At 37.6% G+C, this 27,296-nt stretch overlaps 1 protein-coding gene across 4 annotated transcripts in view, besides 1 other annotated feature; it reads left to right on the top strand.

The window, feature by feature from the left end:
* The window catches only part of PDE11A (phosphodiesterase 11A), a 485,096-nt gene that overhangs the window by 288,653 nt on the left and 169,147 nt on the right, over nucleotides 1-27,296 (top strand). For all 4 annotated transcript variants that reach the window (NM_001077197.2, NM_016953.4, NM_001077358.2 and 1 more), the window contains 2 exons: nucleotides 1,762-1,829; nucleotides 2,766-2,858. In NM_001077197.2, coding sequence (NP_001070665.1) covers nucleotides 1,762-1,829; nucleotides 2,766-2,858 — 161 coding nt within the window. The remainder of the gene's footprint in view (nucleotides 1-1,761; nucleotides 1,830-2,765; nucleotides 2,859-27,296) is intronic.
* Nucleotides 21,397-21,964: an enhancer, noted in NCBI's record as "NANOG hESC enhancer chr2:178662451-178663018 (GRCh37/hg19 assembly coordinates)". NCBI's record gives its function as "activates a minimal SCP1, AML or CMV promoter by ChIP-STARR-seq in naive H9 embryonic stem cells {active_cell/tissue: H9 hESC(naive)}" and the evidence as "EXISTENCE:reporter gene assay evidence [ECO:0000049][PMID:30033119]".

The following is a 27,296-nucleotide window of genomic DNA, read 5'->3' as shown; positions in this document are numbered from 1 at the left end:
ATATACTGAGCATGCATTTTCTGCCTGGGCAGTTCTGAAATAGGCCACATTTTCCTCACAATAAGGGAATCATGGGCAAAAGCAGCTTCCAATTTTTCTCTTCCTCCATTCTCCTTTCCTTCTCCTCAAAAAAACTCAATTAGGAAAGCATCAAATTCAAGAAAGAAGCCCAGGCAAGGAGAATTCATGGTTGAAATAGAGAAGTCATGAAGGATGGAGGAATTAGTTGAAATTATTGAAACACAATAAAAATGTGACTTTTTTTCCTAAGAGACGTAAGAACACTAATTCATTTGGTAACTAATGCATCCATTTGCCTTTCTCTGCTTCCCCCTAAAATTGCCTGTTAAAGTCTAAGACACTGCTGCTTATTAAAGGATTTAGTATTCTGTGAGTGTTTTTAAGATATGAATTCTGAGATAATGTTTTTCATCAGCTTAGTCTGCATAAGAATATTGGTATGTTACTGAACATAAAGAATATTCTAAGGTTTGGGATCTAAGCCTCTAGTACAAAGACTTAAACTACATCATGCACAGAGTTTTAAATAAATTTATGTTTAAAGGGAAAGTCCATAAGAAACACCATGTGTTACCTGTTGATATTCCGTGGCAATCTCGTAGTCCTACATTTCAATCCTAAAAGTAAACATCCCTTATTACTTCAAAATTAGAACCGTAGTTTGCCTGGTTACATGCTAATAGTTTTGTGTTTCATTATTTATATATATATGTCTTCTTGCATATGATGACTTACCTCCCTGGTGGGAAGTTGGGTGTTTTTAAAAATACAAGCATACTTTAGAATTACAGCTGGTTTTTTTTTTCTTTTGTACTAAATGGGGACACAGGCTAGTGGTTTTCAAGATAGTTGATTTTTCTTGTTAAACTTGTGTATTTGGGAAGTCATGCCCTAAAACATCTGGTATAATACTAGAGGTGAAGTTTGGAAAAAGTAATCACTCATAAATTAAGATTTGTAGAACTATATGTACCCCCTGGTAGCAGGAAACAGAACTAACTTTGCTTTGAAGGTTAACTGTATTATATCAACTTTTATTGCTTGTAATAATTCCTAACATTTCTTGAATGTTTACTCTGAGTGAAGCAATATGCTAAATGCTTTATGAACATTCTAACATTATCTCATTTAATCTTCATAACCTTCTTAGGTAGTTAACATTTTAATCCCCATTTTACAGATGAGGAAATTGAGTGCTAAAAAAGTTAGGTAACGTGCCCAAGGTCACACACCTGATGGTGGAGTTGAAATTTGATCTCAGATCATCTAAGTCCAAAGCTTATGTTCTTAATCACAGTGCCATACTGCCTCTTTCAAGTATTGTGCTTCAGAGTATGATATATATATATATATACACACATATATATATATTTTCAGTTGAAATATATATATATATGTAGCTGAATACACACACATATTCAGCTACATATATACTCAGTTGTATATATAATATATGGGCAATATATTAGAGTTACTGTAACTAGTCATCTAGAATCAGATTAAAGCCTTGGTAGAACTCCGAACTACTGAGATCTAGTCTAAATAAATCAGCCTTGAAGAGAGAGTGCATTGTCCTACACCTCAGATTTATTCTCATGAAATCGGCAGGCACTTGAGAGACCAGAGTTTAAACTGAGTGCAGTTCCTTAAAAAAGGCATAGAGTTAGCTGTGGCTACTCTATTAGAGAAACACAATGTCCAGTACTAAAAATGACCACATAATCCACTCTTTCCCCATAGGAGTGGCTCAAGTGTTAAACAGACTTGATGGGAAACCTTTTGATGATGCAGATCAACGACTTTTTGAGGTAAGAAAATAAATTTATAAACCAAGTGGAGTCATCAATAGTCCCCTGGTTGCAGCTTGCCCAAATTTGAAAGACAAACAATTATTAGTCAATTATTATTATACTTAAATGGAGGGCAAAATTAACAGGAAGATTTAAGGAATATGTAAATGCTTAAGTGAGATTTGATCCTATTTTTTATGAATTGGATTATTTTGTAACCATCCATTATTTTTATCTTAATTTTATTACAGAATTACCCTCTCTTTTCCCCAAAGTGCTATTTTCTTATTCTTGTCTTGTTTGTGTGTGTTCAGAGTCATGAAACCCTGAGCCAGCTCTGCCAGGCGTGCTGCCCTCACATTTCTCTTGTTTACACGCTTCCGTGCATTCACTCCAGGCGCTCTAGCTGGAGAAGCTAGCCTTGAATGGGCTTCCTCATAGACTGTACCAGTAGCCAACATGAAAACCCATGGTTATCTTTCTCTAATCAAGAATACCTCATAGCTTCTTTATTAATGGTTCTAACTCAATCCTCCTTCCCCTTAACATTTACCTTATGGTTACATTAACTTGGTTTCTTTACCAAAGTATTTTATAGCCTAGCAACTAAAAGAGGTTGCTTTGGTTAAATAGAATGGATTTACTAAAATCAGTCCACAACCTAAATAAATTAAGAACCCACTTAAACAGAGTGTAAGTATGTTTTTAAACATATGAAATAGTTTCTCTACAATGACATTAAATTCATAATTTTTCCTCATGTGCAGTGTGAGCTATAAAGTTGTTATATAACAATAGTAATTAAGAATTTTAATGTGCCTATTTCCCCAAGGCCTACCTCTGTGTACAACAAGATTGTATTTTCAGACCCATCCCTGGTGGCTGCCTGCTTTCATATTAGATTTTGCCAATGAGTTGCTGCAATGTTTAATTAGCAGGTTTGCTCTTTCCTAGGCTTTTGTCATCTTTTGTGGACTTGGCATCAACAACACAATTATGTATGATCAAGTGAAGAAGTCCTGGGCCAAGCAGTCTGTGGCTCTTGATGTAAGTACAGTGTTTATGTCAGGTTTGTATGCTGTCAGCTCTAATTTTATGAGGGAAAAAATTTCCCTGGTTATGGGGCTTAATTTCTCAAATTTTAATTATTCATTGGGCCTTAATCATTTTAGGTTGTGGGTTTAAATCTCATGAAGTCCAGAGAAACACAATGTTGCATATGATTTCAGGGGTTCACAGATGCCTTGAAGCCCATTCATATAAGTCCTATGTTTAGATATAGATTTTTTAAAATTACATTTATTAAATAGTGACAATCCAAAGATAATTTGGCAGGATTTCAAATTTATTTTAAACTTAGATTTGAATATGTATAGATAATCTATAAAGTCACAACTTTTCTTATCGTAGGAGAAGAATTCACTACAAGGATATATGACCTAGATGGGGAAAGCTACTCCTGTCATTATCCGATTCCCTTTCTTCCTCCCTCCCCCAACACATGTCCCATCAAGAACCTTGACCTGTTCCCATGTCTGCACATATGTCCTCTCAGACACTAAGTTCCAAAAGAGCAGTTCTAATCTCCCCTGAATCTCAGACGCTTGTTTTGACTCAAGACTCGTTTTTTTCTAGCTTCTGCTCTGTAGTTGTTTTTTTTGTTTTGTTTTTGTTTTTGTTTTTTTTGCCCAGGCTGGAGTACAGTGGTGCCATCTCGGCTCACTGCAACCTCTACCTCCCGGGTTCAAGCAATTCTCCTGCCTCAGCCTCCCGAGTAGCTGGGATTACAGGCATGCACCACCATGCCCAACTAATTTTTGTATTTTTAGCAGAGATGAGGTTTCACTATGTTGGCCAGGCTGGTCTTGAACTCCTGACCTCAGGTGATCTGCCCGCCTTGGCCTCCCAAAGTGCTGGGATTACAGGCATGAGCCACCACACCTGGCCTGCTCTGTAGATTTTACCAAATATTTTCTTTATATCTATGAAATACTTACTAAGTAGGCAAGATAAAATGTCAGTGCCAAGATAAAAGTATATAGAAGAGTATGATATAATACACATGAAATCTTCAAAATATTCTGTGTGTCAAGCCAGATATAAGAAGTAGGCAAATTGATGTTACCTGCACTGCTCTGATTTGAGATGTAAAAGATGTAAAATTATAGTTATCTATCTATGTGCTTTTAATTTTCTGGCTAAATCATGGATTCTAGAAGCACAGGGATTTTTATTTGCAATGCCTAGCAGGGTGCTTAGTGCAAAGTTGGGATTTATTGAATAATTTTTGAATGGAGGGTGGGAGGGAAAGAAGGAGGAAGGAAAGAATCCCTTACCTTGGCAAGGGATGCTTTTTGCTCTTCTGAGACAGCCCTGCTTCGTTTATATGTAATATCTTTTTATAGTAAGGACTAAAAACAGTATCTATAAGATGCATCAATAAATGAGTGAACTATAAGTATTCAACCAACTGATAAGAATCATTAGTATAGCATTAAGGTCTGTGTGCAGAACTATTTTCAAATCCTGGATCTGTCACTTACCTCAATTGTGAGAATTAAATGAGATGAAGCATGTGAAGATGTTAATAAGTATTCGTAAAATCATAGCAATAATACTATTATTATTTGTGGTAGTATATTTATTACTGAGAAATCACCATGGATTGGGGAGAAATAGCAAAGGACAGGAATTTAGAACAGCAAATGTTGAGTTATGCCTCCTTCACCATCATCAAATTCTGATCTCCACAGTGTTGCTTCACCCATTGTTTTTCAGTAACTGCAGCTATTAAAAAGAAGGACACACCATACACTAGTCCCATCTAAATCCTACTTCATTATGTCACAGTATAATTAACACACAAAGAGAGAACATCTTACATATGCCCATATTCTCACTTCTCATCTACCTCTGGCACATCGTCGTCCTCTTGAGAAGGAGCTAGAATAACTGCGTTGCAGCATGAATGGCCATTTACCCCCAGATGGGAAGATTCAGTAAAAGGCACCACTCTCACTGGCACTACTCCTACCCCAATGAGCCACAGTTACCATTACCTAGAAAATGCTCATATACCCTAGAATTTCTGGCCCCAGTCTCTTTACCCATGAATTGCTTATTTCAGTTCATAGTGAACACCTCTTGTTTATGTAACTCAGATCCCTCTGTCCTTAGACACAAAAATTATTACTGACTCTGACAAATCTCTAGCCCAACTCTTAGCCTTGTGACAATCTGAAACTTTCAAGAAGTTGACTTATAGGCATTGACTTCTTTGTTCCACATGCTTTATTTTGTGCCAGTGTGGAAAGTGGCATTCCCAGTCAGAATTATGGTGTTGCCATCTTGCTCTTGCCGCTTCCACTCTCAGCCAACTCCCACCCCACTGAGTACGAAATTCTTGACACTAGTGATCAGGTGGCATCCACCCCGCTCCCTGGCCTAGGAATCCATGTGCAAGAGTATCTGGAAGGATTTCTTACCCTGAGGACTTTATAAAGACAAAAAGTGATTTTTTGAGAGCTACTAAACCCAAATTCAGGAATGAGATATACGTATATTATAATATACATCAACTTCTGAATATATATTTTTAAATTTATGTATTTATACATATTATATATGAATATGTGTAAGTGTAATATTTTTCTAAATATTTCTATGGAAAGTATGTATTTATAACTTGCTTAGTCCCATAAAAGATTTGAGCTACTTTATGAGAATATATATTATGTAACAAAGTTTTTTAAAAAGTAAAATAGTAATAACAGAGCTGAGAGAGAAAGCCAAATGCCATGTTACCCTTCTATCATTCCTATCCCTTCTTTCTGAGATCCTGGGCTAGTGCTTTCCCCTTTTCCACTGTGGCTAAGGGAAGATTCCCCACTCAGGTGTGCCCAGGTTCCTCTTCTCCTTGTGTTGTCTCATTTTTGCTTATTCTTTTCCATTATTGTCCTACTTGACCTTGACCCCAAAAGAGCTGTGTCTAAATGTAGCTCTTTCAGTCCCATAACCTTATTGCAGTGTCTTTTTTTTTTTCCGGTTAGCAACAAGAGTGGAGGGAAATAATCCATTCCACAGCACCCAGTGACAAAAACCACCCTAGAATCTTTTCCTTCCTTAAAAAGGGAGCACAAGTAGTTCATGGCCTAGAGAGTTAATGGGAATACATGTCTTGCTGTGTGTTCATGAGACTCAAGAGACAGCACCACACTGTTCTCTTCTGTCTTTTAAAAATCCTATTCCCAAGGCATTTTTCATAAAAATACTTCTCTCCATGGTACATCCTCTGAAAGTAAATATTCTCCATATATATTCCCTGGAAAGACTAATAATTCTCACAAATGGGGCAGAGTACAGTCTCTAAAACACTCAGAGCTCACTGGAAGTACACTTAAAAAAAATAGGGCTTTAACTTTATTTTTTTCTCCCAAACAGCCACTGATTTCTATATATTCATTTAATACTGGCTACTTTTCCTAATGATTTTGTTACTGGGAAGTACAGGAATCCTCAGTTCTTGTCTTACCTGGGAGAAAGAATTCAGCCAAGAGACCAATTAGTAATGTAAGCAAAAGATTTATTGAAAGAAAATAAAGAGTACAGAGTTTATTGAGAGAAGGACACTCCAAGAAAGGAGCAGGCTGGTCCAGCTGGAGAAACAGGAGTAGTAGCCTCAAAGGTTAGGTAGTAGCAGAGACAGTGCACGCTGAAAGATGAGGCAGAGCAGGGTGTTTAAAAGGGATAAGCCAGCAGCAGCCCCAAGAGTTCTGCATTGTGGTTATTATGGCAGACTGTTTCTTCAGGCTTCTGCCTCTGCCTCAAGTTTCCACCTTTGTCTTTGTCTAGTTCCCACTTCTGCCTTAAGTCCCCACCTAGTTTCCACTCCAAATTTGTGGGATTCCCCCCTACTGTTAGTTCACATGTATGTGCAGGCCAGTGTTGGATACAAATTCTATATAATGCCTGCATTACTCATTATCACCACCTGAGGAAGGTTGGAAAGTGGTTAAAGCTGTGCTTATTGCACCTGTGTATCTCTTAGGAATTTCTCCTTTTTCCCTCTTTACCCGCTTAACAGCATGTAGCTAGCTACATTCTGACAGGACAGTTTAATTGTGGAGTGAGTGATTACTGGGAGTCAAGGGGCATCTCTTTCTCCATAGGTATTTCCCTTCCTCTCTGCTCATAGCTAGGATGCATGTTTTGGGTGGTCTCTGGGTTATGAGATTTTTCCAAACCTCCCTTTTCTCAGGGGACTCACCCTCCTGCTCATATCTAGCTTATCTGCCTGCTTGAACAAGTTGAAATACCGCATTAAATTATATAAATTCTTATATATATTCAAGTATATTTCTTTACATGTTACTTTGTCCCATTGATCTACCTATTTCTAAACCAGAAACTTCATTGCTTTAAGTACACTTTTAATGCAGATCTTGCTTTGTGTCAGTGTCCCCTGCAGAAGGAGGTTGCTAACTTTATCCATGCAAAAGGCAGCATAGGGAGAAGATTTAAAGTGTCGATTTTAGTATTAGCCTGATCAGTTTAGTTAGGCTTGAATCCTGGTTCAGTAGCTATTGACCTTGGGCAAGCTACTTAACCTCTCAATCTTGTTTTATTCATATGTTAAATGGGTATAAGAAGCCTGTTTTCCCCATAAATATATATACCTACTATGTACCTACAAAAATTATAAGTTAAAAAAAAATTTTCAAGCCTGTTTTAACAGTTACAAAAAAATTACAGGGAAAGTGTTTAGAAAGAGTGTTTAGTTACAACTGGTACTTAATAAAAGTTAGTTGTTCTTACCAACCAGTGCATTTGGAGTCCTTAATCTTCATTGAGTTTTGTCTACTTAGCCCAAGATTTCTTGTAAGACTATGCTGACTGGGGAGCTATAATTTTTTCGCCTGTTTTATCAGGAAAATTACTACCTGCTTAAAGTCAGAGCTGAAAACAGATTGCCTGTTTCCTAGTTCTTTGATACATGCTGTTTGGTCACACCACTGAACATCCCAGAAGCATCGCAAGTGCAGCTGCTCCAGGGCACCAGTGTTTGCTCAATGCAGGCCCATTGTCTGTAGCCTGTGTTACTATACATGTATCTGCAGAAAAGTCTAGGGCATAGAAATACAAAATTTACCATGTCAGAAACAGAACAGGTCTTTAAAAGCTAGACATCTCCAAGGACAAAGCTTCCCCAAAAGACTTACCATGCAAGGCAGTCCTTTCCCTGTTGTCACATATTGGCAACTTCAGCTTATTTCAGCCATAATCCACACATGGTGAGAAATAGAAATGTAAGCATACAAAACATTTTCTACTGTTCTAGCCTTTAAAAATTGGAGTGACTAATACATTATCTGGATTTTGTTTAACAATTGAATTATCAACTCAATTATTTTGATGACTGTTTTTCTTAATTTCTTGTAATTTAATTATACAATTCTATTGTTAAAATCCTTTGTCCTAAATATATAAAATTAATACTTTAAGGCTCTTAGAGAGCAGAAATGCTCTTAAAGCTGAATAATGGAACAAAGAGAGGCATTTACTATCATTTTAATAACTTTAATTTCATGATCCTGATTTCCATTCTATATGACCAAGAGCTTCAGAAGAGCTATGCTAATGTAGGTTCATATTTTCTGAGAGTAGAAATTCTTAGGTAAAAGGAGGAACCTTTTTCTAAAAGCCACAATACAGAGAAAAATAAAATAAAAATGTAGATGTAGAATATAACTTCCTCATTTTGAACATCAGGAACTGTCCTTTGGGGTGTCTTTCACAGTTACTGCAAATGAAGCCTTACCTAATACTGAAGAGAAATTTGCCAGAAAATATAAGTCTGTGTGCTAAGGGACACTGCATACAGCTTTAGGATCAGAAGAGGGAAGAAATGAGGGTTTGACAGAGAGTAAGAAAAAGGCATATGCTATCAGGATCCAAGCCTCTTTTATTCTACCTCCCCAAAGCCTCTCCCATCTATTTCTGCCTTTCCAATTGTGACAGCAACCATCCTACTTAAGGGCTCCATTACCTCTGCACTGGACAATTGCAATAGCCTTCTACTTGTTCTTCCTAAAACATATTTTAGATTTCATCACTCACCCACTCATAGACCTTAAATTACTCCCCCATTACCTATTAAAGAACAAATGTCCTGGCCTTTGAGGCCCTCAGAAATCTCATACCAAACTTTCCTACCCCTGGCTCTCATTTCTCTTCTCAAGAGTATTATATGCTACTTACAAACCCAATGATGTCATAGTCTGAAGACCAGCTACCTGTTTCTCTGCCATCTGATCTCTGCTCTAACCTCCCCTCCACTTTTGTCATTCTCTGTTTCAATTATGCCATATCCACTCAAAATGTTCCCATCATTCAAAGCACAATGTAAATGTAATCTCCTCTATAAAAATTTCTAATCCCAAAGCTTTTTTGTTCCTGTTTGCCCTACATTGTCATTAATTGTAAGTCTGTATGTTTACCTCTGCTGAAACATATGTGCCTTGAAGTGTGTGATCATGTCTTATCTAGCTTTTATTCTTTTCAGTATTCTATATATAATTGGTACTCAATAAAAGTATATGGAATAAATGAATGCATCCCACCACAAATAATCATTTTGTCTGCCATGACAACATTCTGGAATGGAAAAGCTTGGGCTATGTTGGGAGAATTGACAGTCACTCTTAGTGGCAGTCTTGCTGACCACAGACTGGCATAACATCAGCTCGTATTCCCTTCCTCCTTCATAAGCCATGGGTACAGATACAGAGTTGCGCTTTTATTTGGGGAGGATGGTAGACCTCTTCCTAGATACCATCTTCCATGGGATATATCCTTAGATGAGGATGAAGAAGCCAATCTGACTTCCTGAAGGTAAGGGAGAAGGAGAGAAGTGGAAGCAGTGATTCTTTCATCAGGAATCTTCTAAGCTCCGAGGAAAGATTTTCTCTCACTGGATGAAAGGGCTAGACTCAGAGACTACAAGTAGAATGCCACTTCATTCTTTCTCACTCTTCTTCCTTTAAACTTACTCTGTTGAATCAATCATCCCCACTCCTGTATAAACTGTCTAGTACCATTCCACCACTTTTTTGGCACACACAGATGTTAAATTGTCTGCACACACAGATGTTAAATTGTCTCTGAGCTTCTTCCCTTCCCTTCATTTAGAAGCCTGTAGTCAGGAGAGAGACACAGTCATAGCTTCTTTACTCTTCCTCACTTCACCTTATCTCCCAATTCAGGTACAGGGCTCAAGAGGGAGGTAGGATGAAAGGGCAAAGTCTTAGGATTTCCTAACTTGATTTCAGGGCCATCTGTGTCAGACACCAACATTTTCTTTTTGTAATGAGCTGCTTTTATAAATTCTTCAGATAACTGCCTGGCTGGGAATCTCCTGTTAGCAATTACTTGTGGGTTTGCCTCTCCTGACTAACAGCTTATAATCCATTCTCATTCCTGGCTTCCACTGGCCCATCCTGACCCTCCCTCTGTGGGGGTCAGCTCACTTCTCTAGGCAGTCCTCTTGGTGAAGGTTATTTTTTGTTGTTTTTGTTTTTGTTGTTGCTTTAAAAGAGTGGTAAAATAAACACATGAAATTTATGACTTTAACTGTTTTTAAGTGTAAAGTTCAGTAGTACTAAGTACATTCACGTTGTTGTGCAACCATCACCACTATCCATCTCCAGAACTTTTTCATCTTCCCAAACTGAAACTCTGTACCCATGAGACACTAACTCCCCACTCCCCTCTCTTCAGCCTGTGGCAACTGCCATTCTACTTTATGTCTATGAATTTGACTACTCTAGCTACCTCATATAAATAGAATCATGCAATATTTGTCCTTTTGTGACTGGCTTATTTCCCTTGGCATGTCTTCCAGGTTCATTAAGGTTGTAGCATGTGTAAGAATTTCCTTCATTTTTAAGGCTTGAATAATATTCCATTGTAAGTATATACCACATTTTGTTTATCCATTCACACATTAGTGGATACTAGGGTTGCTTCCATGGTCTGATTATTTTTCATGGGTCTTTTTGGGTCAGGGGAAAACTCACTCAATTTAATGAGTCTTTGCTCATTAAATTGTACAAACACAGGTCCCCTCAATGTAGCACTCCACTCTCTTCCTTCTGTCCACTAACCTTTAGAATTTTTAGGTATGGATCAGCTACCAGTGTCTGCTAGCATGTCACATCCTGGGCAAATACATATTAGGTTCTCCAAGTAGTTCTGTAGAAGGAAGCTTTAAGAAACCCTAGCTAAGAAATCTTCCATATAAGGCTCTCTCATAAACTGTTACCCTTTTCTTACACAATTCAGAGATGAACAGTGAGCAGCTCAGCTTGGAGGAGGTAGACCTAGTTTGGGGCATTTTCTTTCCAAGTCCTATGGCTTAGCATGTACCTTTAGAATATAGTACCTGTTGTTCTAAGTTATAAACTCAGGAAGAGTTCCACTTAAACATCCTTTTATCTACCAAAATAATTTTTTCAGACCAAGTTACTGTCAGACAATGATCTAGTGATTGTCCAAATGATAACTATCTACTCATGTTGATTCACAGGTACAAGGAATACCAAGCTGTCAATTAGAAATCCAAATGTAGCACACCAGTAGATACAGAATTGTTCTCATTTGTAAATTCTTCTTTACTCAAAACATGTTAGATTAGGTAAATATTTTTTTCCATTGCCTACAAATTAGATCTTTCAAGATTCTCCACTATTGACATCAATATCTCGCTTCATCCCTCCATGAAAAAACCTAGATTTATTTGTGTTTCTCAAATATATCTTGAAATTTTTATTCTGAAACTTTTCTCCATTTCCTTAAAGTATTTTCTAACAAACCTCAAATTTCACGTCTTTCATTAATGTTTTCTCACCTACCCCAAGAGATGTGATTGTTTCTTACTTTTAATCTCTTTATAAAAGGGCTATTGACACATAAAAACTGTTTTTTAGTTAATCTTCATATATAAATATTTTACAAAGACTAGTGAAAACAGTAGTAATCGTGTAGATATTTGGTATGAGGATAAAGATTAGTCAGATAGTTTTCTGAGGATTCTTGTATACTAAGTGTAACCCATATACAATATTTGTCTTAGTTGTTCTTTTAAAAATGTTTTTGCCAGGCCTGGTGGCTCACGCCTACAATCCCAGCACTTTGGGAGGCCAAGGCAGGAGGATCACTTGAGCCCAGGAGTTCAAGACCAGCCTGGGCAACATGGCGAAACCCCATCTCTATAAAATACAAAATACAAAAATTAACCAGGCATGGTGGCATGCGCTTGTAGTCCTAGCTACTTGGGAGGTTGAGGTGGGAGGATTGCCTGAGCCCAGGAGGTCAAGGCTGCAGTGAGCTGGATCATGCCACTGTACTCCAGCCTGGGTGACAGAGCAAGCCCCGTCTCAAAAAAATAAAATAAAATAAAATAATAAAAACAAAAATGTTTTTAAATTATAAGAACAATGCAATTGTTATAGAAAATGTAAAAAGTATTTAGAAGAAATCAAATCAGTGGTAACTTACTGCTTAAAGCTAACTACCTTATCATTTGGATTGACAGTTTTTTCTTTCTTTCAGCCCTTTTAAGATACCACTGTCTTTTGGCTTCCGTTGTTACTAGTGAAAACTCTGCCATTATTTTTGTTGTTCCCCTAAATGTAATGGGTTTTTTTCTTTACTGCTTTTAACATTTCCTTTTAGATCTTTGTTTTTCAGTCATTTGACTATGATGTACATAAATGTGTTTTACTTTATGTTTCTTATGCTTGGTGTTCGCCGAGTTTCTTGGATCTAAGAGTTGATAACTTTCATTGATTTCAGAAAATACTTGGCTAATATCTTTTCAAATACTTATTTTTTCCTATTCTCTCTCTCTTTCTGGACCCAGTTACGTATATGTTGAATCAAATGATATTGGCCCACAGTTCTCTGGCACTCTGACATTTTTCAGTTCTATAAATTTTGACTTGGTTCCTTTTTAAGGTTTTATTTCTCTGCAGAAACTTACCAACTGTTATTAATTATATCCACCTTTTCTTCTATAAATTTTTCTATATATTCTAAAATTTCTTCTATAAATTTTTAACACATAATTCTTTATAATTGTTATTTCGTATTCTTGGTCTTTAATTCTAACATCAAGGGCATCTGTAAGTCTGCCTGTATTGATTATTTCTTCTCTTGATTTTAGGTCACATTTTTCTGCTTCTTTGCATGTATTCATAAGTATTTATTGCATATCAAACATGTTGTATAGAAGGACAAAAGTAAATAATATTTTTACTAGATTTGTTTGAACTAAATAAAATCTTTTGTTTTGTTCTATTTCTCATAAAGAGGATATGTGATTTTTTAAAAATGTCAGACAGCTAGAATGAGAGGCTGATCATAAAAATTTGACCATCTGCAATGCTTTAGCTGGGGATTGGCTGAAGCTTTTTATTAGTTTCAGTTTATTTCTGCTTTAAAAAGAGATTATGAAGATTTCCCTTTGCCCTTCAACCCAATCCCAACTACCCAGGCTGCATTGAGTAACTGGTCACAATCAGGATTTGAGCTGGGAGGGGTTTGAATTGCAGCTAGAGTTCATTTCAGTTCTCTTTGGCATCAACTCCAGCCAAATTCATGTGCAAGAATGTAAGATTTCAGTTTTCTGGCTCTGCACTCATCATCAATTTCACAGCAAATTCCTGTGGCAGAGAATTTTCAAGCCAAGAGGTTTACTTTTGCATTTGTGGCTCTTCTAGATAAGAGTCTGTTTGCCAACCCATACTATCATTTGAAAAATTGCTAGTTTTTCTCCTTTTAGGAGTTGCTCTATGATGGCAGGCTCATCTCTCCACTATGTAACCAATTGGTCCCAGATATGGAAGCAGTCACTGCTTTTTATTGGTCTATAAAAGGCTTCTCTTGACTGGAATTTTATTTGTTTAGACTTCTCTTTGTCTCACATTCACTCTTTGACAGCTTTAAAATGAAGTATGATTTTTGCTTTGTCTCTTTTTTCTTGTTATGAAGGCAGTGATAATCTTTTGAGATCTTCTTTACCTAACCATAAATTGAAACCACTGGCCAATCCTTTCTATTTTCCACTACTGATCTGAATGTATCAGATATTAGCATTTTGGTAATTTCATGATATTTTGTCAGGAAGGAATATAAACATATTTTTAGTCTATCATCTATCCCTCTCCTTGAATTGTTAATATTTCTTGTTTTATACATTTTTATTCCATATTATTTGCAAAAACAGGTTCAAGAACATGAGGTGTTTCTTTTATAGATTTAAGATTACCCTTTTACTTCATTGATTTGACCTTGGAATCGACTTAGTTTGAAATTAATGTTGTTATCTGTGCTTTCTCTTTTATTTTACTCCTTTTCTGGAATACAGTCATTCAGTGAAAATTTCCTATTTCTAAGCATTGGGTTGGGCACTGGAAATAAGGCAGTGAGCAAAGCAGGTTTATTTCTGCCTTAAAGAGCTTAGAATGTGGAGGCAAACTGAAAAAAAAATCATGGAAACCAGAATATAGTAATAGTTGTGATAAATTCTTGTAAGGAGAAAATACAGGATGCCATAAGAGCATCTGAGAGGGGACATAACCTCTACTGGGGTTTTAGGTAAATCCTTCTTAAGGATATATATTTAAAACAATAATTCCTGACTCATCTGTTTATTTTATTTTTTATTTCTGGGTCATTTTGTTTTAGGCATTTTTTTGTAAACTACATACATCTAAATATATATATATTTTTTAATTAAAAAATATATTTAGGGAGTACAAGTGCAGATTTCTTACATGGATATATTATGTAGTGGTGAGCCAGCTTTTAGTGTATCCATCACCCTAATAGTGAACATTGTATCTAATAGGTAATTTTTCAATTCTCACCCGCTCCCAACCTCCCACCTTTTGTAGCCTTCCATGTCTATTAATCTACTCTGTATGTCCATGTGTACCCATTCTTTAGCTCCAACTTATAAGTGAGAGCATATGTTATTTGCCTTTTCTGTTTCTGAATTATTTCAGTTAAGACAATGGCCTCCAGTTCCATCTATGTTACTGCAAAAGACATAGTTTCATTCTTTTTTATGGCAGAATAGTATTCCATTATGTGGATATATATATAACATTTTCTTTCTCTCCAGTCTTATACTGATGGACATTTATGTTGATTCCATATCTTTGATATTATGAATAGTGCTGTGATAAATATATGGGTGCAGGTATCTTTATTATATAATGATTTATTTCTTTTTGGGGATATACCTAGTAGTAGGATTACTGGATTGAATGGTAGTTCTGTTTTTAGTTCTTTGAGAAATCTCCATACTGTTTTTCATAAAGATTTACTAATTCCTATCAACAGCATATAAGTATTACCTTTTCTCCGCCTCCTTGCCAATATCTGTTGTTTTTTGACTTTTTAATAATAGCTATTATAACTGGTGTAAAATGGTATCTCATTGTGGTTTTAATTTGAATTTCTCTGATGATTAGTGATGTCAAACATTTTTTTCATGTATTTGTTGCCGGCTTACATGTCCTTTCCCCACTTTTTAATGAGGTTACTTGTTTTTCTTATTGAATTATTTGAGTTCCTTATGGATTCTGGATGTTAGCCTTTTGTCAGATGCATAATTTGGAAACTTTTTGCCCATTCTGTGGGTTGTTTGTTTACTTTGTTGATTTTTTTTTCCTGTAGAGGAAGGTTTTAGCTTCAGTCTCATTTGTCTATTTTTGTTTTTGTTGCCTTTGCTTTTGAGGGCTTGGTCATAAATTCTTTGCCTAGGCCAATGTCCAGAAGAGTCCTCCCTAGGATTTTGTCTGAGATTTTTATAATTTGAGGTCTTACATTTAGGTCTTTAATCAGTCTTGAGTTCATTTTTATCTATAGTGAGAAATATGGGTCCAGTTTCATTCTTCTGCATATGGTTATCCTTGTCTTGTTCCAGTTCTTAGAGGGAATGCTTTCAACTTTTCTCCATTGAGTATGATGTTGGCTGTGAATTTGTTGTGTATGACTTTTATTATGTTGAGGTATGTTCCTTCTATGTCTGATTTGTTGAGAATTTTTATCATGAAGGGATGCTGAATTTTATTGAATGCTTTTTCTGCATGTTTTGAGATGATCTTATGGTTTTTGTTTTTAATTCTGTTTGTGTGATGTATCACACTTGTTGATTTGCATATGTTGAACTATTCTCACATCCCTGAGATAAATCTCACCTGATCATGGTATATTATCTTTTTGATGTGCTATTGGATTTGATTTGCTAGTATTTTGTTGAAGATTTTTGTGTCTATGTTCATCAGGGATATTGGTCTGTAATTTTCTTGTTTTGTTGTGTCTTTGTCTGGCTTTGGTATCTGGGTTATACTGGCCTTGTAGAAAGTGTTAGGAAGAATTCCCTCTTTGATTTTTTTGAATAGTTTCAGGAGGATTGGTATTAGTTATTTGTATGCTTGGTAGAATTCAGCTGTGAATCCATCTGCTCCTGGTCTTTTTGTTGTTGTTGTTGTTGTTGTTGTTAGGAGATTTTTTTTATAAGTGACATAATCTCACTGCTCTGAATATAATTTTTTATCTAATCTAAGATTCTGCTTTTAATGAGGGATTTTGCTTTATATCTATTATTTCATCTTATTCTATCTGAGCTTCTACTTTCTTATGCTTTGCTTTTCCTGAATTTTACTATTTGGACTATATTTTGCTTAGTTTCTTTTAGTCCTTACTTGAAGTGAAAATTATTTGTTATCTTTTTTTTACAAAAGCATTCTTTAATCAATATTTCTCAAGACAAAAATGAATGAGTATCTTTTAATTTCTTACTATATAAAAAAAGAATTGGAGTATGCACTTTCCCTATAGTTTCCTAGTTTTTGTTCATGTATTGTAGATTTTTAGTTACATTTTCATTAGCAAATTTTTAAATTTATACAAGTGCTTTTGCAGTATGAATATACCTGTATTCATAACATTTGGTTAGGCATAATCTTTTTGTTTTGGTAATCTAATCTTGCATATCAAAATGCCCCAAAATGTATTAGCTTAAAACAACAATTTTGTTATTTTTCAATAGGAAAAATGTCTTGATATATTATCACCCCAGAAAGTTCCCTTTTGCTCCGTCCCCAGGATATCACTGCTACCCCCAGACACAACCAGTGTTCTGATTCTTTCCACCATAATTCTACCTGTTCTAGAATTTCATGTAAATTCAGTTATACAATATGTACTCTTTTAGGTAAGGCTTCTTTCAACCACCATAATGCATATGAAGTTTGTCCAGGTTGGGTATATAACTTTGATGTTTTTAATTGCTAAGTAACATTTTATTATATGATTATACCATAGTTTATCCATTCTCCTCTTGATCAATACTTTGGCTATTTCCATTTTGGGGCTGTGTGAATAAAGCTGCTATGAACATTTTTGTATAAGTATTTTTGTGAACATATGCTATGATTTCTCTTGGGCTAATACCTAGTATTACTTGGTCAAAAGGTCAGTATGTGTTTAGTTTTATAAGAACTTCCAGGTATATATTTTTCCAAAGTGGCTATACCATTGTACATTTCTATCAAGTAACTATGAAAGTCTTAGTTGTTCTGCAGTCTCACCAGTATTTAATGCTATCATTGATTTTAATTTTAGTCATTCTGGTAAGTGCATAATATTCTATTGTGGCTTTAATTTTCATTTCCCTTATGACTAAAAATGTTGTACTCTTTTTCTATGTGCTTATTTACCATTTGGATGTCTTCTTTTGTGAGCTGTCCAATTTTTTTGCCCACTTTTAATAGGATTGCTTGTCTTTTTATTGTTGACTGGAAGAGTTCTTTATACATCCTGGATACTAGTCCCTGGTCAGATATATGTATTGTCAATATTTTCACCCAATTTGCAGCTTGCTTATTCATTTTTTCATGGTGTCTTTTGATAAGATTTTTTCATGGTGTCTTTTTAGCTTTGATGAAGTCTAATTTATCAGTTTTTTAATTTAAAGCTTATTGCTATTAGTGATCTAAGAAACCTTTGCCTACCCACAAATCAAGAATATATTGTACTGTTTTCTCCTCTAAAAGCTTTTTTGGGTTTAGCTTTTACATTTTGCTCTATGATTCATCTTGATAGCCATTGAGGTTCATTTTTAAATAAAATATTTATCATTTATTAAAAAGTTCTTCTTTTTCCATGGGATCACTTTGGCACCATTGTTTAAAAAATAAGTGTTGGCCCATTTCTGTTCTGCATTCTTTTCCATTGATTGTTGATTCTGAGCTCTTGCATTTAAAAAATATTTATTAACTCCAATGTGGGCTTAAATTCTGCTATTATAATTTGAGTTCTTTTGAAACTGTTCCACATTTTAACCATCTCTGTTGTTGTCTATATATTCATTCACTGAGTAAATGTTTGTTGAGCTTCTACTTTTTGGTAGTCACCATTCTCCATACCGAGGACTCAGCAGTTAAAAATCAAACAGTATTCATATTGTCATGAACCTTATATTCTAGTAAGACAGGCAGTAGACAAGTAAACAAATAAATTAGCAAGATAAATTTATTATACTGTATCATAAAGAAAATAAAGCAGGATGTTTTAATAAAAAGTGACTAAAAATATGGGGCTACTGTGGATACATTCAGGAGAGACCACCCTGAGCAAGTGACAGTTGAACTATGTTAACTCATTCTTCTGTTTGTTTTATAAATTTCATTCAAACATATTTTGCCTATATGGTTTTCTGATCCACTTTCAATGATGCTCTTTCTTCTTGTATCTTTGAAGATACTAAGCATAAGATTTCTAAAAGGTTGCATGCATGAAACAATTATCAGATGTATTAAAACATTCTCTCTGGGTTTTTAGGGTGCTTCTCTCCTTCCCTTGGACTGCAGTGTTTGCCAACAGGCAAGACTTTGGGGTTGCCCCTGAGCTCTTTTGTGGTCCACTTATGTCCTGTTGAATCTCCTTGGTTAGATATACAAAAGGGGAGCAAACTTATGTACTAATATTTAGTTACTAGGCTGATTCTCAGCATCTAGCATGTAGACATAGATCTAGTGTACTCCTGCTAGGCTGAGATGGAATATTCTTCCCCCCATCAGGTCTCAGTGGATTCTGGATCCCTTATGTATAGAAATATGTCTATGGGTCTGGTTCACCATTATGTGCCCAGTACCAGCAGCACACAGTAGGCATGTAGGAAATGTTTGTTGAGTGGATCAAGTATAGTAAAATACAAATAAAAATCATAATTAAAGTACAAGAATCTCAATCCTCAGCATACGCTGCTACGAGGGTTTTTGAATGAACTACAGTTAGGTGATTAAAAGGGCAGGCTTTAAAATTAGACTGTTAGAGGCTGGGCACGGTGGCTCACACCTGTAATCCCAGCACTTTGGGAGGTCAAGGTGGGAGAATTGCTTGAAGCCAGGAGTCTGAGACCAGCCTGGGCAATATAGCAAGATCTCATCTCTACAAAAGGGAAAAAAAATTAGCCAGGCATGGTGGCATGCACCTATAGTCCCAGCTACTCAGGAAGCTGAGGTGGCAGGATCCCTTGAGCCCTGGAATTCGAGGCTGCACTGAGCTATGATCATGCCACAGCCTGGGGAAGAAAGCAAGACCCTGTTTCAAAAAAAAAAAAGAAAAATTTTTTTAATTAGACTGTTAGGATTATTCTTAAGGTTTTTTTTTAACCTTTGTTCTGAGACTATTAGGATTTTAATTTCAGCTGTGCTACTTTTTTACCTGTGCATCTCAGGGCAGGTCAATTTCTCTGTGCTTCATTGTTCTCACTTCCCAACCTTGTGGGATTGTTAATAACGATGAAGTGAATTAACGCCAGTAAAATCTTTACCACTGTGTTCATATAATGTCAAAAGTAGTAGTTATTTATATTATAACATCCCCCACCCCCCACCATCATACAGTGCTTTATTTGCAGTGACTCTTTCCCACAAGATGAAAGCGAATACTTCAAAAACAGCTACCATTCAGTAGAAGGTGAACTGGTTAATTTTCTGGTTAGCACAGATCCTGGGTCTCTGAATGAGAGCTCAGACAGTACAGAAAGGAACACTGCCCTCTGGAGACTGCTTTCAGAACAATGCCTTCCCATCTTCTTTCAGACCAAGGGGGACTGCTTCATTTTGGGGGTGGAGATAAAGCATGGTTAAGCTACTAGTTATTTTTCTGAGTCCAGCTGCATCTGCCTTATACTTGGTGAAAATTCTTCTCATATTCTAGTAGTAGGTTATCAGTTTTAGTTATTGATGGTTTCTAGGTTTTCATTTAGGTATTCTGTGGAAAGTGGGAGAACTTACATGGAGAATCAGCCGTGAGGTATCATTTTTTAGAAATAAACTTTATATTTTATGACAGTTTAGATTTACAGAAAAATTGGGAAGATAGTACAGAGAGTTCCCTTATACCTCATACCCAGTTTCCTCTATTAAGATATGGTACATTTGTTATAATTAATGAACCATATTGCTATATTATTATCAACTAAAGTCCATACTTGATTCATATTTCCTTAATCTTAACCAAATATCCCCTTTTTGTACCAGGATCTCATTCAGGATACCCTATTACATTGATTCATCATGTCTCCTTAGACTCTCCCTGGCTGTGATACTTTTTCATACTTTTCAATTTTGTTGACCTTGACAGTCTCGAGCAAACTGGTCAGGTATTTTGTAGAGTTTCCCTCTATTAGAATTTGTTCAATGTTTTCCTCACGATTACACCAAAATTATGGGTTTGGGGGAGGAAGGCACAGAGGTTAAGTGCCATTTTAATCACATCATATCAAGGGGACATACTATCAAAATGACTTACCATGATTGATGTTAACCTTGATCGTCTGGTGGAAGTAGTGTTTGTCAGGTTTCCCCAATGTACAGTTACTCTTTTTTCCTCTTTCTACACTGTAGTCTTTAGAAGGAAGTCACTATGCACAGCTCACACCTAAGGAGTGGGGAGTTATGCTCCACCTCCTTGAAGAGGAATTATCTACATATATTATTTAGAATTCTTTTGTATGGGATATTTGTCTCTTCTCTCTGTTTATGTGTTTATTTATCTCAATATATTTATATACTCAGGATATATATACACCAATATTTGTTTTACACTTAGGGTTATATTCCACTACTCCTTTCTTCATCAGATATCATTTTATACCAGAATCCAGTAAGGTAATTTTTTAACAGCAACAAAAAAGAACTTATGTGTATGCACAAATGGTGCTTCTCTGCAAATAGTCTGCAGGGGAGTCTATGTACTACTTCTAATAATTATATCATCATTTAAATATGTTTGAAACACTTTAATGGAAACCATGAGATTTGTAAGATAAATAATCATTAATGTTACGAATGGATCACCTATTATGTGCCAAGAACTCGATTTTCACCAAAACAGCATAGAGTAGACTACGACTATGTAAATTTCATAAGCTGTAGTACAATCTCATGTGATTTCAGTCTAATAGAGGACAGAGATAAATGAAAGTATGATTACTGCCAAGTGTAACGAGCTCCAAGAAAGAGGTAGATATGTTAGGGGAAGCATAGAGGAGGGGGCATCTTGTTCAAAGTCAGACATAACTGCTTTGCATAGAAGGCAATTTCAGAGTGACAGGTAGCAGTGAGCTATACAATTTCTAAAGACAACTAGCAGGAATGCTCCATGGAGAAGGAAAGTCATAGGTAAAAGTAGGGAGAACTGAAGTAGCATGCTATTCAAGCACCTCAATGCAGACAGGGAAAAGGGCACAGCAGGGGAGAGGCAGGGCCTGAGGCTGGAGAGCTACCCGGGGTCAGATCACAAAGGATGCTTGTGTTACATGAAGGAATTTGAACTTGATTCTAAAAGCAGTGGAGAATCATTGAAGTGTTTTCAGCAGGAGAGGAACATGATTAGTTTGACATTTTAGAGAGATCATGTTGGCAGCTGAGAAGATAAAATTTATCTTAGTATTTCATAATCATACTTTTTTAAAACAAAATTGTTGATCATGTTTTTATTTTATTTTCTGTTAAATGATTTTTGTGGTTTTCCAAAATCAAATCTGCTCTCAAATGATTTGCCACCACTGTCATGGTCTAAGGAACGTACTTTGAGATCCTGGATAAGAGTTCCCAAACACAGCAGAACATTTGGAGTAACTTAACATAGTCCCCATAGTAGCCTTAAGAAGTAATTGTTATTTGGATGCATTTGTTCTGGTTTATTTGTTTAAAATTTTTCTTTCATTACCTTACATTCTTCTTATTTCTTCTGCTTTTGCTATGTTATTTTGGTCCTTTTTGAAATGCTATATTTATTAAATGCTTATGTGTCAGGCATTAATTATGTGTTTTGCATATGTATTTTATTGAACCTTCACCAAAACAGCATGGAGTACACAGTATCATTCCCATTTGACAAGTGAGCAAATTGAGGCTCAGAAAGGTTTAGGAACTTGCTGAGAGAGGTTTTGTGGCTTGCATTTCACAGCTAGAAGTAGAGCCAGGATTCAAGCTCAGATCTATCTGTTTCAAAGGGCCATGTTGTACAAATTGTACCGCAAGGGCTCTTTTGAGGAATGTCCTATCAGTTGCAGGAGAGCATTTACCACTGGAGCCCTTGGCTGCCCTGATGGAAGTGGGAGGAGAGCCAAGGTAAAGGGCCTGTTTTCTACACCGGGGGCATGCTTCTGGTTTATGAGACTGTGATGACAGTAATTAAGGGTAAATAATGAAGACTTGCCCATTGATTTAAAAGCTCAAACTGAATAAAGCACCCTTGGAAATGTATTGTCCTCCTCCTCCTCTTTTACCTCACTGAAAATTACTAACTTGTCAGTAAGGAAACTGTTTCTTTCAACCCTAATGCTTTTGGTTTTACAGTGCAGATCCTAGGAGTAATAGCCAGTGTCTCTGTTGGGCTCCAGCAGCTCACTTTTTTCTGGAGCAGTTGCTGAGTCTAAGTTAGTTGACTCAGGTCAGTTACCCCACAGTGTGCGAAAGAGAACAGCTTTCTGTAGTGGAACAGCCATGCCTTTGCCTGCTGGCTTCTCTTGTAAAACATTGGCTTATGAAAGCCGTGTTTATAGTTGGCCAAGTAAGAAACTGACATTCACTTTAGGCCCAGTGCTCAGTATCTTGATAGTGCTGTCATAAGGGGACAGTACCAGGATGCTGCTATCAAAAGGTGGCAGATCACACCCCAAATCCAACCAGAAGGAACTAAGCCTACAAACCGTTTAGAAGACATTGGAGTTACTCACCTCCCCTTCCCCCTAGATCCCCCTCCACACTGTGCTGGATTTTAACAGGTGTGAGCCCTACATTATGCACATTTCAAACTTGGTCAACCCCACACACAGCCCCTGCAGAGGTGCATCCAGAGGAGCCCAAATCTCAGGGGGAAGCCCATGCAGGTACTGGCAATGGGCTTGGGGCATTTGGGGTACCTGGGGGAATTTGAGATACCTGGAATTTAGTTTGGCTGATCCCAGGTACCTGGAATATAATCTGAATGACATCGTCCCGGAAATCCATGGACTTTTCTTTCCAGGGGATAGAAGAGACAGAGTGGAGCCCTTCAAAGCTTGGGGCCCAGGCCAACTCTCACAAGTCAGTCACCTGAGTGTCACAAAGACACTAACCAGGCTCCTGTTCTGAGTGTCTCCATCCCAGCACCTGCCTTCATTATGGCCTTAAAGTCACAGTCAGGCCTTTCCAAAAAGACTTACTGTAGCTAAAATCTTACAGCAAAGATATATATATATCACTTTAAGATATATTTCACTCCACTCTCTCCACTCTAGATCATAAGCCCCATACTGGCATCTTAAAGCAAAGATATATATATATATATATATATATATATATATATATATATAGTTTAAACAAAATAATAGTAATAATTATCTACAATCCCCAGAGACAACATGGGAGACTTTTGCTTCACGTGGCCCTCCCTAACCACCTGAAAGTATGTGATGATGCAGAGTCTTAGGGAGGTGGGATCCACATTTCTCAATACATAAAAATGATAAACACTGAGGGTGGTGGATAGCCCAGTTTCCCTAATTTGATCTATATACATTCTTTGCGTGTAACAAACACATGTACCCCATAAATATGTAAATTATCATATATCAATAAAGGGTAAAACAAAACCTGCTTGGGGTTATCTTCAATTCCCTGCCCAGTGGAAAGAGGAGAGGCCTGACTTTAGGTACCCAAGAAGGCATTTCAGAAGGTCTTTGACTAGCACCTAAAAACAAAGAGCATAAAAGCCCCCACCCCCTTCTCCATGCCCTAAATGTGTGTGTGTGACATCACATATATTGATAAACTCTGTGGCAGTTAAGCCGAAGCGGGTAATCAACACTTTCTAGCAAAAACATCTGCTCTTGGAATGGAAGCAAACAGGAGCCAATCAGAACATTGGCTCAGGTGTTGGGCCCAGAGCAGAGACTGGAGAAACCTACCTGTTGTAGCCCCTTCCCGTTCCTGTCATCAGATGTCACCAGGTGATGAATGTAAGGAAGTTTTCAAACCCTCTATTTTTATATGTCTATTTCCAAAAGTGTGTCCCACCCTAAACACTCCTCCCATTGTCCAGAAACTCCAAATTTGGCCCCATCAGACCCATCTCCCAACCTCACATTCAACTTCCGTGATTAAATTCATCCCGTAGAATGAAATAAGAATAAAGGTTAGAATGCCATTTTAAAAACCAGACACCGGCTGGGTGCAGTGGCTCATGCCTGTAATCCCAGCACTTTGGGAGGCCGAGGCAGGTGGATCATGAGGTCAGGAGTTCAAGACCAGCCTGGTCAACATAGTGAAACCTCATCTCTACTAAAAACACAAAAAATCAGCTGGGCATGGTGGTGGGCACCTGTAATCCCAGCTACTTGGGAGATTGAGGCAGGAGAATAGCTTGAATCCGGGAGGCAGAGGTTGCAGTGAGCCAAGATCGTGACACTGCACTCCAGCCTGGGCAACAGTGCGAGACTCTGTCTCAAAAACAAACAAACAAACAAACAAACAAACAAACAAAAACCAGACACCAATTAACAAACAGCAGACATTCGTTTGTCGGGTGTGTTGGGGGGTCGGTGTAGGGGTAGGGGTGGGAATCATACCCAGATTGCCAAGGAATTAGATTCATCCAAAGAAAAAGATCTGGCTCATGTGGGTCTGTGGGGCTGACAGCAGCCCCTGAGCTTAACAGAAATGAGGGGAAAGCTGCCTTTATCTCTTTGAAAAGGAGGAAAATGGCTCCTTAATTTAGCAAGTATACTGGGCCCAATTCGATGAGCCTGCCTCTGGGAAATTTGTTTTTATCCCCAGCAAGTGCCTACACTTACTTGTTTTAACAAAAGGCCAAGTTACGATGGTTTCCAAAACTTCTGTGATCTAATCCCTGGTCCCTCTATGACCTCCTGTTATTCTCACTTTCCTCACTCTGTCCCACTGGCCTCTTTGCTTTTCCTTAAACAAGCTGGGCACATTTGTGCCATAGGACCTTTGCACTTGCACCCTACACCCTCTCATCCTGATATCCACACGGCTTGCTCTCTCTGCAATTTCAGGTTTTATTTGTACTATTCAGTGCCACCTTCCCAGACAGTCTTATTTAAATCTGCCGTGCCCCCTTTCCTGCCCCCAACATGCTAATCTCCCTTCCCTGCTTTGTTTTTCTCCATAGCACTCATCATCACTTGATACACTACCTTTTCCTTATTTCACTCCACTCTCTCCACTCTAGATCATAAGCCCCATACTGGCAGAGATTTTTGTCTCTTTTTTTGACTGATGTATCCCTAGCACCTACAATAGTTCCTAAAACATAGCTGATACTGAATAAATATTTGTTGACTGAGAAATGTTTAAAGGCATTGTGTTTCCCAATACTGGTGCCCATTCCTGCCTCAAATTCATAATGAAATTCACTATCTGCAGCTTCAGATGGCTGTGAACCAAAGTGGTCCAGTCCCTCCCCATCCTTCTACTGACTAGACACCGGAGCAAGTCAGTGTGCCTGATCCCTGTACTGCCGCAGTGTGAGCGATGGAGCCAGGTACTCACAAGCAGAGGGAAGCAGCCTTCCTTGTTTTGGGTTCCAGTTTGCTTGTATGTGGCCTCACATGCCCTTTCCTCCTCCTTTTTGATGGTCTCTGGTGTATGGCTCCTTCCTTCAGGGACCGGGACCCGGGACTGAGTGCTTCTGTGGCTCTGGTCCTTTCCTCCCTGAGTGGAGCTCTTTTTTTTTTTTTTTTTTTTTTTGCAGATCCCTGTGTATTGTCTCCACAGATCGAGGTCTCGCATCCACCATCCTCATCCAGCCACTGTTTTCCCTCCCACATCCACTCTTGCCCACCTCCAGTCCACCCTCTACACAACCAGGGCCATGTTCTACATGTAATATGAATCCATTTATGTAAGTTCAAGAACAGGCAAAACTATATACTACCCCAAGGGAATGAATGCCACAAAAGTCAGAGTGGTGGTCACTTCTGGGGTGGGGTATCACTGAGGAGGGGCACATTAGGGCCTTCCAAGGTCATAATGACTGGAAAACTAATGAGACAATGTCAGCCTCTTGCCTGAAACCCTGGATGGCTTCCCATGGACTCTAATGAAGTCTTTATCCGCCTGAAAGGCCCTGCATGACTAGGCCTGTGCCCAGCTCTCCTGTCTCCTCTGCCCACTTACATGCCCTAACACCACACAAAGGTGACTGCTCCCTCTGCCCAGAGCTCTTCCCCTACCCGTTGGCTGGCTGGTTCTTTATCATTTTCCAGGTCTCAGCTTAAGTATCATGTCTCAAAGAGGTCATCCCTAACCAACTTCCCTGCCACTCCCTGCCATTCTTCCCACCTCCTCCCATGGTTTCTTTCGCATTTTGCTACTTGACTTTGTAGCAATTATTTCAACTTGTATGTTTGCCTGTTTAGTGACTGCGCAGTTCTGGGCACAAATTAAGTCTTCAATGGATATGTCTTGATTGAATGAATGGTTCATTCATCGGTACATCCCAGACTGCATTGATGTGATTCCCTGGTTTACTCAAATCTAATCTGATCTCCATGGCCAGCAACCTTGGTCCAGACAGATTGGAAATTGCCCTTTGCATTTTTATTTCATCCATGGTGACGAGTCACTTCTGTGGCCCTAGTGAGTTTGACAGTGGCCCAAACTAGGCCTGATCTCTCCTTATTCCTTTTACTTCAGGAGCTCCCAGCAGAGCCACGCTGTTTCAAACATAAAATGCTCCATGGTGTTCCTGCATAACCAGTGCAAATAAGCAATGTATCTCTCTCTCAAAGCATAATGGTAATCCTTTGATTATGCAAAAACCATGGGGGGAGAGGAATGGAAAATCAGTATATATAAATATTTAATAACATGCTACTCAGAAGTATGGTCTTAA

This window comes from Homo sapiens, chromosome 2 (assembly GCF_000001405.40).
Source record: "Homo sapiens chromosome 2, GRCh38.p14 Primary Assembly".
Taxonomy (NCBI): domain Eukaryota; kingdom Metazoa; phylum Chordata; class Mammalia; order Primates; family Hominidae; genus Homo; species Homo sapiens.
This window is presented reverse-complemented; position numbering and strand designations above follow the sequence as displayed.